The 13,177-nt window shown below is 37.5% G+C and overlaps 1 protein-coding gene across 15 annotated transcripts in view; it reads right to left on the reverse strand.

Moving 5' to 3' along the window:
• Positions 1–13,177, reverse strand: part of KIF14 (kinesin family member 14) — a 69,255-nt gene that overhangs the window by 16,740 nt on the left and 39,338 nt on the right. For all 15 annotated transcript variants that reach the window (XM_047436198.1, XM_047436190.1, XM_011510232.3 and 12 more), the window contains 4 exons: positions 12,965–13,058; positions 12,018–12,147; positions 7,355–7,455; positions 1,675–1,769 (listed from right to left, as the gene is read on the reverse strand). In XM_047436198.1, the coding sequence (XP_047292154.1) occupies positions 1,675–1,769; positions 7,355–7,455; positions 12,018–12,147; positions 12,965–13,058 (420 nt within the window). The remainder of the gene's footprint in view (positions 1–1,674; positions 1,770–7,354; positions 7,456–12,017; positions 12,148–12,964; positions 13,059–13,177) is intronic.

Consider the following 13,177-nt stretch of genomic DNA (forward strand, 5'->3'; position numbering starts at 1 on the left):
TTTTCTATCTCTGACTTCCCTTAAAATTATTTTTGTAAAATATCTTACTCAGATAATACCGAATAAATAAGTTGCTACCACAGATACATATCTTTTTATTTTGCTGATAAATAAAAAACCCACAGCATATTTTAATCTACCTTAGATTAAATAAGTAGTAGGATCATAATTATCTTCCTAAAAGAAACCCTAATTTCTAAAATTTAAAGTCAAGATGAGATATAATACCTTTTATGGCTACTCATATTCCATTAGAACTTTTATCAAATAGATTGTTACATAATTATTTTAAAATTTTTGTTTACTAAGTATAATATGTGTACTGTAAAGTGCATATATCTTAAGTGTACAGCTGATTTATATATGTGTAAATCTGTAAACCCCACTTAGCTCAATGTATACAAAATTTCCACCATCCCATCCCAACAGGTTTCCTCTTCCCGGTTACTAACTCCCAACAGAGGTAACCACTATTCAGTTCTAACCTACTCTGGCTTTTGTCACCATAGTTTAGTTTGCCTGTCCTTAAACTTCATATAAAAGGAATCATGTAGTATATATACTCTTTTGGATCTGGCTTCTTTCACTCAACATTATGTTTCTGGAATTCATCCAGGTTATTGTGTGAATCAGTCATTCCTTCTTTTTTATTGCTGCATAGTAGTCTATTGTTAGCAGGTAGTAATTTTTTTTTTTTTTTTTTTTTGAGATGGAGTTTCACTCTTGTTGCCCAGGTTGGAGTGCAATGGTGCTATCTCAGCTCACCACAACCTCTGCCTCCCAGGTTCAAGCGATTCTCCCGCCTCAGCCTCTCGAGTAGCTGGGATGACAGGCATGCGCCACCACACCCAGCTAATTTTGTATTTTTAGTAGAGACAGGGTTTCTCCATGTTGTTCAGGCTGGTCTTGAACTCCCGACCTCAGGTGATTCACCCACCTCAGCCTCCCAAAGTGCTAGGATTACAGACGTGAGCTACTGTGCCCAGCCTAGCAGGCAGTAATTCTTAAATTGTAATTATTACAGGTAGTTACACATATAAAATTTACAGTGTATCCTCTCCTCCTACATTTTAAAATAACATTATAATAAATATTGGTAAAAAATAATTATTCAGAGGAATAATTCCTTTTTTAAAAAAATTGAAATAATTTTGGGATAGATGATACACAGATCATTATGCAAAATTCAGAAGAAACCAAAGGGGATGCAGTGAAAAGGGTGCCTTCCTTCCTGTCCTGTCTCCATCCCCAAGCTCCCATGTACAACCAGCACTTTGGGGTTTCGGTGTAGTTCTCCAGAGAGATCTTATTCATTTACAAGCATCTATGTCCACATCTTCTTTTTTCTCCTCCTCACACAAATGACAGAATAAAATACATAATCCACTGCACTTTGCTTCCTTTCACTTGTAAGGAAGTAATATTCTCATACATTTTGGAACATACACATCTTCCACATTTGAATTAGTTACTCTACTAAAAGGCTTTGAAATAAATCACAGAGCACAGAATTTTTGAAGCGGAAGGGGTCATTGATCCAACCTCCTCATTTTACAGAGGAATCAGAAGCTTCCAGGAAATGAAATGATTTGCACACGGATAAGAAAAAATGTAATGGTAGAACCAGGACTCAATGCTTTTCTCGCCATAGAGAAAATGTGAAGAAAAAAATACCTGATGAATGTGAAGAATGCAAATTCTTAATTGGATGGACTTGTATGTCATGTAAACAACCAGAAATTCTTCTGTTCTTCATCAAACTCCTACTCCTGAAAAAAGACAAACCATAAGATTAGCAGTTCTATACCACATGGAATAATATTATTAAGAATATTTATAAGTTCTCTAAAGAAAATGGACATTCATGTGTGTGTTTTTCATTAAAAATTTTCATCAAAGGAAAAATTCATTTGGTTAATTGAGCAAGAATTTTACTATTTACAGGCACTGTTCTAGGCAGATAGTTAATTAAATAAGTATTGATTAAGCACTACTATTTGCAGGCTCTGGATATTGTGGTAAAATGTGGCAAACATGGTTTCTGGGCTCACTAGGCTTAAAGTCCAGAACAAAAGAGATAAATTAGGCAAATAATTACAGTAAAGTGATGAATGTGATGAAGGCATAGAGTGTTGTGGTAGATTGTATAAAAGAACTTGACCTGGCCCAAGAAGTCAGGGGGGCCTCCTTGGAGCAGTAACCCTCAAGGATAAGTAAAACTTAGCCAAACAGAGGGCAGGCTTGGGAAGCAGGGAATAGTGTCTCAGACACAAGCAACAGGAAGACCTGATAAATGAAAGTAGTGTACATGCGAAGAACCAAACGAGGTTCAGAAGGACTGTGGCCTATGATGTAAGAGAGAGAGTAGCAAGGGATTAAGCTGGGAGGTGCACAGGGGCCAGCTTGAGGTGGTCTTTGCATGTCAATAAAGCTTAGATTTTATCCTGAGCAAATTATCCAGGGAAGGATTTTATCTTATTTTTTTAAGTGGCCGAGTTGGGATTTATTTATTTTCTTTCAACTTTGATTTTAGGTTCAAGGGGTACATGTGCAGGTTTGTTACATGGGTAAATTTCATGCTGTGGGGGTTTGGTCTACAGATAATTTTGTCACACAGGTAACAGGCATAATACCTGATGGTATTAAAGAGTTTTTCAATCCTCACCTTCCTCCCACCCACCATCCTCAAATAGGCCCCAGTGTCTATTATTCACTTCTTTGTGTCCATGTGTACTCAATGTTTCAAGGAAAGATTTTAAACAGGGAAGTGATTTAGGTAAATAAACATTTAAGTAGGTATCTGCTACACTGTGTACAAAGCATAATACCTGTGAAGTGCAGCAGTGGTACAAATGGAAGAAATGTTTCTATCTCCAATTGCTCTTTTTGCTGACCTCTTTTTCCTCAGCCTATAAAAATGCCCCAATTTCTAGCCGGGCGTGGTGGCAGCTGTCTGTAGTCCCAGCTACTCGGGAGGCTGAGGCAGAAGAATGGCGTAAACCTGGGAGGGGGAGCTTATAATGAGCGGAGATCATGCCACTGCACTCCAGCCTGGGCGACAGAGCAAGACTCCATCTCAAAAAGAAAAAAAAAAAAAAAAGCCCCAATTTCTGCTTTGAGTTTGCTTGGCTGCCTAAGCTGTTATTTTCTTTCTTTCTGTTTGCTTCTTAAAAATGGAGGCTACCCTTTCTGCTACTGGAGAAAGCAGCCTATCTCCATATTGCCGTTCATCTATAAATTTTCTAAACCCAAACTCCAATTCCTATGTCAATGAAACTAACAGAGCAGTGATCTAGATCTAAATTTAGTGGATCCTTTGAAGTATTTTTCCTAACAGAACTCTCTATTACAGTTGGCCACTCAAAGAAAAATACTATTTGTCGAAAAGATTATTAAGCCAAAGCATTCTATCACTAGTAGCCTAGATGTTTCAAATATAAAATTTCCCCCATGAACTCCTACAAGAAAAACACAGAAATAGGACTGATAAAAGGGAAAGGAAATATCAATTCTCAAATATTACAGTTCTTCTACTTAGGGGTGAAAAAAAGTATATTATTACAGCAAGTCTAAACTAGGAAAACAGTTATTCTTGCAACAATATCATAGTTAAACAACGTTTAAACCCAAGTAAAATGCTTGTCATATTCCTTTCAAAGAGTTTTTACTTAACCTCAGAGGGAAATTTACTTTTAATTGTCAACAGTATGTATCAAAATTTAAAGGCAGCCAAACCAGTCTATTTTATTGCAGAACGACTGTGGCATATCATTGCCCAGTAGAAGTTCTATAATTAAGAATCTGTCAGTGTTTCCATTACCTGCAGGCATTCTCAGAGTTTGGAATTCTGTCATAAACATTGTTACAAGGCTGAAACTTCGTATACAAGGTCTCAGACTAAGAGCAATTCATTTTTTAAAAATATGATACTTTTAAATTATAGAAGTACCCAAAAATCTCTGTGAAATGAAAATATCCAATTTCGAAATCTTAGAAAACATTGAGATGTTTTGATTTTTGGTAACATTTTAAATTTCTGCTGATTCCCTAATTATTAACTTAAAAGTCAACAGAAAATAAGATGTAAATTACCAACATCTAGGAGGCTAAAAGTCTTTTTTTTTAAGAGACGGAGGCTCGCTCTATCGCCCAGGCTGGAGTGCAGTGGCGCGATCTTGGCTCACTGCAAGCTCTGCCTCCTGGGTTCATACCATTCTCCTGCCTCAGCCTCCCGAGTAGCTGGGATTACAGGCGCCCAACACCACGCCCAGCTAATTTTTGTATTTTTAGTAGAGACGGGGTTTCACCGTGTTAGCCAGGATGGTCTCAATCTCCTGACCTTGTGATCCGCCCACCTTGGCCTCCCAAAGTGCTGGGATTACAAGCATGAGCCACTGCACCCAGCCCCGGTAGGCTAAACGTTTAATGCTCATTATTAATGGTCATATTGTGATTTACAATTCTAAATATACAAAGTTTAAATCTGTTTATAATAAAAATAATACAAACCTAGTAATCCTAAAATCCAAAGATATTCATAAATCATTCTCTGATGAATTTATTGGTCTGGTTTAAATTTTTGGGTTACTCTAGGTTGGCTTAAATATCTCAAGCTCTATCTACCCAATTTCACCTAAGGACCATATTTAGCTCACTTCAGTGCCAAAGGCCAACTCTGTCAAGTCCTCAAGACAAATCACTTGAAGATATTACCATCTGTTACTGGTACTGGACAGAAATCATAGCTTCTCTGTATTCTAAGATTTAATCTTATTCAATATATATTAAGCATCCAGTAATAATCAGAGCTGCCATTTATTGAATGCCCACCCACCGTAATAGGAGCTTTATATGCACTATCTCTAATCCTCGTAACAACTCTGCAACATAACCATCATCAGCCCGATGTTGTCAATCATGGTGGTCATAGTAGAAGCAGCAGGAGCAGCAGCTGCTCTGTACATAGGACCTCACTTAATCTTAATAGTAAATCCCTGTAAAGTAGGTATATATTACTGTCTTCATTTTATAGATGAGAAAATTGAAGCCTAGGGATGTAATGTCACTTGTACATGACTACACTGAGCATGGATTAGAACCCAGGATGCTGATATCAGACTTTGTGACCTTTTTGCTATGCTATATTGTAGGGGGATACAGACACGTTCCCTACACTCAAGGAGCTCATTTCTTTTTTTTTTTTTTTTTTTTTTTTGAGACGGAGTCCCGCTGTTTAGCCCAGGCCGGATTGCAGTGGCGCAATCTCGGCTCACTGCAAGCTCCTCCGCCTCCCGGGTTCACGCCATTCTCCTGCCTCAGCCTCCCGAGTAGCTGGGACTACAGGCGCCCGCCACCGCGCCCGGCAAGGAGCTCATTTCTGTGTAAAAGATATGCTTTGTATTTCATTCAGGATAATGCTTGCTATGTATTAGCAATTTCTTACCATAGCTTAGAGGTTACCATGTGACCAATAAAGCAGAAATAATGGGGGAAAGTTGCTATAAAATAGTTTCATCTCTTTGAGGAAAATCATAAATGAGTTTAAAATAAGCCAAGTCAAAAACAAGGCTATAGGCCTAAAATGATTTAGAAACCTAAATGGATTTTGATCTGCAGCTGAAGGCAATGAAGTTTAAGAAAACAAAAAACAATTAGCTTAAACAGAAGGATGCTACCCTTTCATATACAATGGAGAGGCGATACGGCATAGCAGTTAAGAAAATCAGGAGCTTTGGAGTCACCCAAACTTGGATTTGAGTAATGGCTCTTCCTCGTAACAGCTCTGTGACTTTGGACAAGTCACTTAACCTCTCTAAATCTCAGTTTCTTCATCTGTAAAATGAGGGTAATGACAATATCTACTTCATAGGTTTGTGGTGTGTACTAGGTAAGATAAGGCTTAGTAAGCATTTAATAAATGCTCTTAATAACAATGATGCTTCTGCTGACAGATAAATACTATTGACCCTTACATCCTGAAAATCCCCAGCTCCATCCACCAAAGTTCTAAACCCAAATATACACCTGGATGTCCCCTGAGAATCTCAAATTCTTCATGTTCAAAATTAAACTCCTCTTAAATGCTCCATCTCAGGCAACACGACTTTCCCCTAGTCAGTCACCCAATTTAAAACCAGGAGTCATCCTTGCACCCTTCACACCTTCAGTCCCACAACCAGTCTCTGCATCCTATTGATTCTGCATCCTGAGTATGTATAAAACTCGACTTTCCTCTTCACTGCATTTAAAATCCTTCTGTCTAGCCTCAGTTCAGGTTTTTATCAACTGCTCCTGCCTCTACTTTCCTCAATTCCTGGTCTTTCAGGACAGAGCATACTTTGTATTCATCTTTGCTTCCTCAGGGCATAGCAGACAGTAGTCATCAAAGAAATACTTGCTTAAAAACCAAACCAAACTATGAGGCTAAATTGGCTCCAAAGCCTTTCCATAATACCATTTTGCCTCTCTATAATCTAAGCATCTGAGGTCTAAGCAGAACTAGGTTTCCCTTGAAAAGCATCTATTATTCACTATGGAGGTCTTTTATGTTTTGAGTTAACAAGCAACATTTGTCATATATAGAAGTTGTCTATCACTATGATTTATTATTTTGTGGAGTTCATACTAGCTTTACTGCATTTAAAATTCTGTAACTTACAAGAAAATATCATAGAATATGTCAAGTTCTTGAGAAAGGGTAATTTTTTTTTTTTTTTTTTTTTTTGAGACGGAATCTCGCTCTGTCGCCCAGGCTGGAGTGCAGCGGCTGGAGTGCAGTGGAGCGATCTCAGCTCACTGCAAGTTTCGCCTCCCAGGTTCATGCCATTCTCCTGCCTAAGCCTCCCGAGTAGCTGGGAGTACAAGTGCCTGCTCCCACACCGGGCTAATTTTTTGTATTTTTGGTAGAGACGGGGTTTCACCGTGTTAGCCAGGATGGTCTCGATCTCCTGACCTCGTGATCCACCCACCTCGGCCTCCCAAAGTGCTGGGATTACAGGCATGAGCCACCACACCTGGCCAGAGAAAATAATTTAAAAGTAATAAATACTGTTCATTTTTACGGAAAATTTAATTTATGCTACTCTAAGTTGCTCTTAAGACTTATATGATGGAACACTGAAAAACTGGTTTCTCTTCTAACTGACTAATAAACAATTTAATGCCCTAAGTGCTGTAATTTGACCAATAACATATTATTCCTCTTACAGTTCTGGGTTTCCTGTCCAGACATCTATCATGACAACGGTTCTTTTAAAATAGGAAATAATATATATGATATACAATTTACACACACACACACACACACACATGCACACACAAAGTGCAAGAAAACTAGTAACAAAATTGTCTTTACCTCCTTCTAGAAAGTGAAGAAACTGGTGCATCTGTAATGTCGGGTTCCCATTCATCTTCAGGATCACAAAAGGCATCTTCACCCCTGTTACTACCATTACTCTAAGAAAAATATAATATATAGTTTCAGTAAATTTGGGGTGAAAAAATGTTTAGCAACTAAGAAAAAAAAGATTAAATCCTTTGTTACATTTAAACCATAAAATTAGCAGATTATATATTATCTGATAAGTCTAAAAAATCATTCCTGATCAAATTAAAAGTCAATCACACGATGACAGGGATGATATTAAAAGACATCTACTTTTAATAAAAACAATAGAAATCATTAAATAATTCAGGAATAATAAATGAGATTTATAATAATAGTAAAAACATAAACAATAAAATCCTCAGGAGAGACATAAAAGAATAATCTGACAAAGTTAAGATGTAGTCACTTCCTGGTCGAATATATTGATCAGGATTACAGTCTATATTTTACATATTTAACGTAATAACAATTACAGTTCTAGCAAAATGCTACATAGAACTTGATTCAGAGATAGTACAATTATACAGAAAAATAAGTTAAAAACTGCAATGAATGGTTAAAAGTAGGAGGTAAGGCCGGGCGCGGTGGCTCACGCCTGTAATCCCAGCACTTTGGGAGGCCGAGGCGGGCGGATCACGAGGTCAGGAGATCGAGACCATCCTGGCTAACACGGTGAAACCCCGTCTCTACTAAAAATACAAAAAATTAGCCGGGCGTGGTAGCGGGCGCCTGTAGTCCCAGCTACTCGGGAGGCTGAGGCAAGAGAATGGCGTGAACCCGGGAGGCGGAGCTTGCAGTGAGCCGAGATCGCGCCACTGCACTCCAGCCTGGGCGACAGAGCGAGACTCCGTCTCAAAAAAAAAAAAAAAAAAAGTAGGAGGTAAGTTAAACCTAGGGTAATTCAACCACTAGGTTTTAAAGTATATATCAAGGCAAGAATAATCAAATGACCTCCATACTACTTTTGTTGTTCTAAAAATACAAGCAATTCATATTAATTGTAGAAAATTTGGAAATTATTAATACATATAAACACAAACAAAAAAGTTAAAACCACTCATAAACCCATCATTTTCACATAAACATTGTCAATGCTTTGGTATGATTGCTTTCAGCCTTTTTGGATTTTCTATTATGAATATACTTCACGTTTATGACATAAACCCTACTTCTTCATGGTGTAAGAATTCTCTTTTTTTCTTTTGTAGAGAGAAGGCTGGTATCGAACTCCTGGGCTCAAGTGATCCTCTCATCTCAGCCTCCCAAAGTGCTGGGATTATAGGGCAACCTTGACCTTCCAGACTCAGGTAATCCTCTCACCGCAGCCTTCCAAGCAGCTGGGACTCCAGGCACGCAACACCACATCTGTCTAATTTTCAGATTTTTGGTAAAAGAGACAGGGTCGGCTGGGTGTGGTGGCTCATGTCTGTAATCTCAGCATTTTGAGAGGCTGAGGCAGGCAGATCACCTGAGGTCAGGAGTTTGAGATCAGCATGGCCAACATGGTAAAATCCCGACTCTACTAAAAATACAAAAAAAAAAAAAAAAAAATTAGCTGGGCATGGTGGCACATGCCTGTAATCCCAGATATTCAGAAAGCCAAGGAACAAGAATCACTTGAACCTGGGAGGTGAAGGTTGCAGTGAGCCAAGATTGTGCCACTGCACTCCAGCCTGGGCAACAGAGCAAGACTGTCTCAAAACAAACAAACAAATAAGCAAACAAACAAAAATCATGTTACCCAGGCGGTTCTTGAACTCCTGGGCTCAAGTGATCCTCCAGCCTTGGCCTCCCAAAGTGTTGAGATTAAAAGCGTGAGCCACCGTGCCCAGCCCTGCTAACATTTCCTTTAGGATTTTTATAGCTGTGTTGATATTAAGATTGGTTGGTAGGCCAGGCACAGTGGCTCACGCCTGTAATCCCAGCACTTTGGGAGGCCGAGGCGAGTGGATCACAAGGTCAGGAGATTGAGACCGCTGACGCAGGAGAATCGCTTGAACCCGGGAGACGGAGGTTGCAGTGAGCCGAAATCGCACCACTGCACTCCAGCCTGGCAACGGAGTGAGACTCCGTCTCAAAAAAAGAAAAAAAGAAAAAAAAAAAAGAAGATTGGTTGGTAATTCTCTTCTGAGCTATCTTTTCAGTTATTGTGGTTTTTGTTTGTTTGTTTTTAATCAGTTATTCTAGCATAAGATAAACTGTGACACTTTCTATGTATTGCTATGTTCTAGAATAGTTTAAACAGAATAAGATTTATCTGTTCTTTGGCAGTTTAAAAGAGCTTACCCATAAGAATGTCTGAGATTAGCACCTTCTTTTCCTACACTTTGTTGTTTTTTTTTTTTCGAGGCCAGTTTGTTGATGAACGTTTCAAATTATTGCATGGTTATTCACCTATGAAGTCAACTTTCATAATTTATCTTTTTCTAAAAAGTCTTTTATTTGTAGGAAATTGTTAAATTTATTAGCATAAAGTTTTATAGGTAACATACTTTTTAAATGTTCTCTTTATGTTTACTTAAATGCCACTTCTCATTTCTAAAATCACATTTATCCTTTCAAAGAACAAGAGCTTATATTTATTAATTTCTAATTCATTATTGCTTTTATCTCATAATGATTCCTTTCATTGCTTTCCTTTGTTTTATTTTGTTTTTATTTTCATTTTTCCATTAAACAATTCAAGTGTTAGGCTACAATTTGGCAGCATCCTCTAAGTTTTTCCATATGATACCTTCATTACTACAATGATCTAAGTAGTATATAGTTCCATATGGAGTCAAATTATTTAAAGGTAGTATATTTTACAAATAGTAGCAATGCAACAATACATGTTGCAACTATTTTAGGGATAATTTATGGATAATTAGATAATATGAACTTTAAACTTTAAATTCATACCTCTCACAAAACACCATAATAAATTCTATGTGATTCAAAGATGTGAACTTTTTTTTTTTTAATTAAAAGAAAATGCAGGGGTTGTACAATGTTTAAGTAAGATCTCTGGAATAATAGATGGATTCAAATTTGCCAAATTAAAAATGCCTGTATAACAAAATGAAACCAACAAAAAGATGATATAATCAGGAAAAAAGGTATATGATAAATATAAAGGCTTATCAAAATATGTAAATAACTTTTATAGCTATATTAATTTCCTACATTTCATTTAACAAAAAATTCAGCCAGGCGTGGTGGCTCACACCTGTAATCCCAGCACTTTGGGAGGCCAAGGCGGGTGGATCACAAGGTCTGGAGATCGAGACCATCCTGGCTAACATGGTGAAACCCCGTCTCTACTAAAAACACAAAAAATTAACCGGGCATGGTGGTGGGCACCTGTAGTCCCAGCTACTCAGGCGGCTGAGGCAGGAGAATGGCGTGAACTCAGGAGGTGGAGTTGCAGTGAGCCGAGATTGTGCCACTGCACTCCAGCCTGGGCAACAGAGTGAGATTCCGTCTCAAAAAAAACAAAAAGAAAATTCAAAGGAAATGAACACATACTTTACCCATAAAGAAACAACAGTGAAATCCCTAGATTTACTAGTTATTACAGTACAGGTTGCACACAATGGCTCACGCCTGTAATCCCAACACTTTGGGAGGCTAAGGTGAGAGGACTGCTTGAGGCCAGGAGTTCAAGACCAGCCTGGGCAACACAGCAAGACTCTGTCTCTATTAAAAAAGAGTAATAATAAGCCCAGGCATGGTGGCTCATGCCTGTAATCCCAGCACTTTGGGAAGCCAAGGCGGGTGGATCACCCGAGGTCAGGAGTTCGAGACCAGCCTGGCCAACGTGGTGAAAACTCGTCTTTTTTAAAAAAATACAAAAATTAGCTGGGGCTGGTGGCAGGCACCTGTAATCCCAGCTATTCAGGAGGCTGAGGCAAGAGAATCGCTTGAACCCGGGAGGCGGAGGTTGCAGTGAGCTGAGATTGCACCACTGCACTCCAGCCTGGGCAACAAGAGTGAAATTCCATTTCAAAAAAATATATATATATATATTTGTAAAATGCAAACTGGTAACATTGGTAAAATGGCAATATTTCTGGCAAGCAATTTGTCGGTGAGCATCAAAGTGTAATAAAAAGCTCATATGTTTAGTTTCATTTTGGAAAATAAAAGATGACAAAATAAGATATTAAAAACTAATATGTGCAGAGATTTTTCAGTTGTGACTATAACAGGCAGCAGGCAGTTGGAAGCACTCAAAGCACAGCAACGGAGAAATGTAAATATGCAAAAAGGTACATTAGGCATAGGAAGATCATTTCAAATGATGTAATATGATTTATGTCTATCAAATTTCTTCTTTCCTTAAGCTTAAATGTAAAAATTTTAAAAATATACAATTATGACAATAGATTCCACCCTTAAATTTCTCTATTATACCTATAACTGTATTAAAACAATCCAATAAAACTCCATTTAAATGTAAAAATAAATATATATAATTGTTAATACTGGTTGGTTTAGGTAATTGATAGATTGCCTTTTATTTTCCAAATTTTCTATATGGAGAATATGTCACTTTTATATATATACTTTTTTCACCAAAAGCAGGTACTTGAACTTTTATACTTTTTTATTTTAAAAAATTTATAGAGATTTTAATAATATTCCAAACCTCATAAAGTTCTTTCATTGCTGCAAGTTTAGATTCAAACTTTTCCAGACTCCAGAATGTTGAGATTCCTAGTTTCAGGTTACGAACCCGAATAGAAGTGTCAGAACTACTTTTATCTGATATATCATGTCTGAAAGAAAAATAAACAAAAAAAAGCTTATCCTGAAACATACACATCCATTTATACTAAGAGTTTTCTGGGGTAGAATAATTTCCCTAAAAATTCCATCCACTGATTAAGTCTTTCCACAGTTAAGTATTTTTATTATAGTAATAATCATATAAGTATAAAACATATAAAAATAACAAAAATTTTTTAAAATCAAAAATTTCTAATAAGGTATGTTCCTTTTGAACAATGAAATACTGATACATTTTCAACTCAAAAGAAAATTAGCAAATTCCTAAAACAACTAAAATTATTTTATTTATAAATATACTAGTATGTTAATTGTTGAAATCTCTCTTAATCCAGAATGACCTCTGAAAGGATAAAGTCTCACTGGGGATTCTGGGGATTCTGATACCAGCTCTTTCCTATAGCTGTAGAATGGACTTTAGAGAAACTAAATGATAGCCGGGCGCAGTGGCTCACACCTGTAATCCCAGCACTTTGAGAGGCCAAGTCAGGCGGATCACTAGGTCAAGAGTTTGAAACCAGCCTGGCCAACGTGGTGAAACCCCATCTCTAACTAAAAATACAGAAATTAGCTGGGTGTGGTGGCGCACACCACCCAGTAATCCCAGTTACTCAGGAGGCTGAGGCAGGAGAATTGCTTGAACCCGGGAGGTGGAGGTTGCAGTGAGCCCAGATTGCGCCACTGCACTCCAGCCTGGGCAACAGAGCAAGACTCTGTCTCAGAAAAAAAAAAAAAAAAAAGAGAAACTAAATGATATAAAGGCCAACTTGTTTAAAACATTTAAAATCAGGATAATTAATTACTCACCTGCCAAAAACATAGTATGTTTTCAATTTGCTGCTGATAGCATTGGCTTCCTGAATCATCATTGAGAGTTTCATAGAGCTCCAAGTTGTCTGCACTAATACAAAGCACACAGAAAAGATTCAAAATACATACATGGACACTAACATATACCATTAGGCAAAACAATTCCTAAAAAAAAAATCACTGATTTTAAATGAATGGTTTTAACTCTAT

This window comes from Homo sapiens, chromosome 1 (genome assembly GCF_000001405.40).
Source record: "Homo sapiens chromosome 1, GRCh38.p14 Primary Assembly".
NCBI classification, from domain to species: domain Eukaryota; kingdom Metazoa; phylum Chordata; class Mammalia; order Primates; family Hominidae; genus Homo; species Homo sapiens.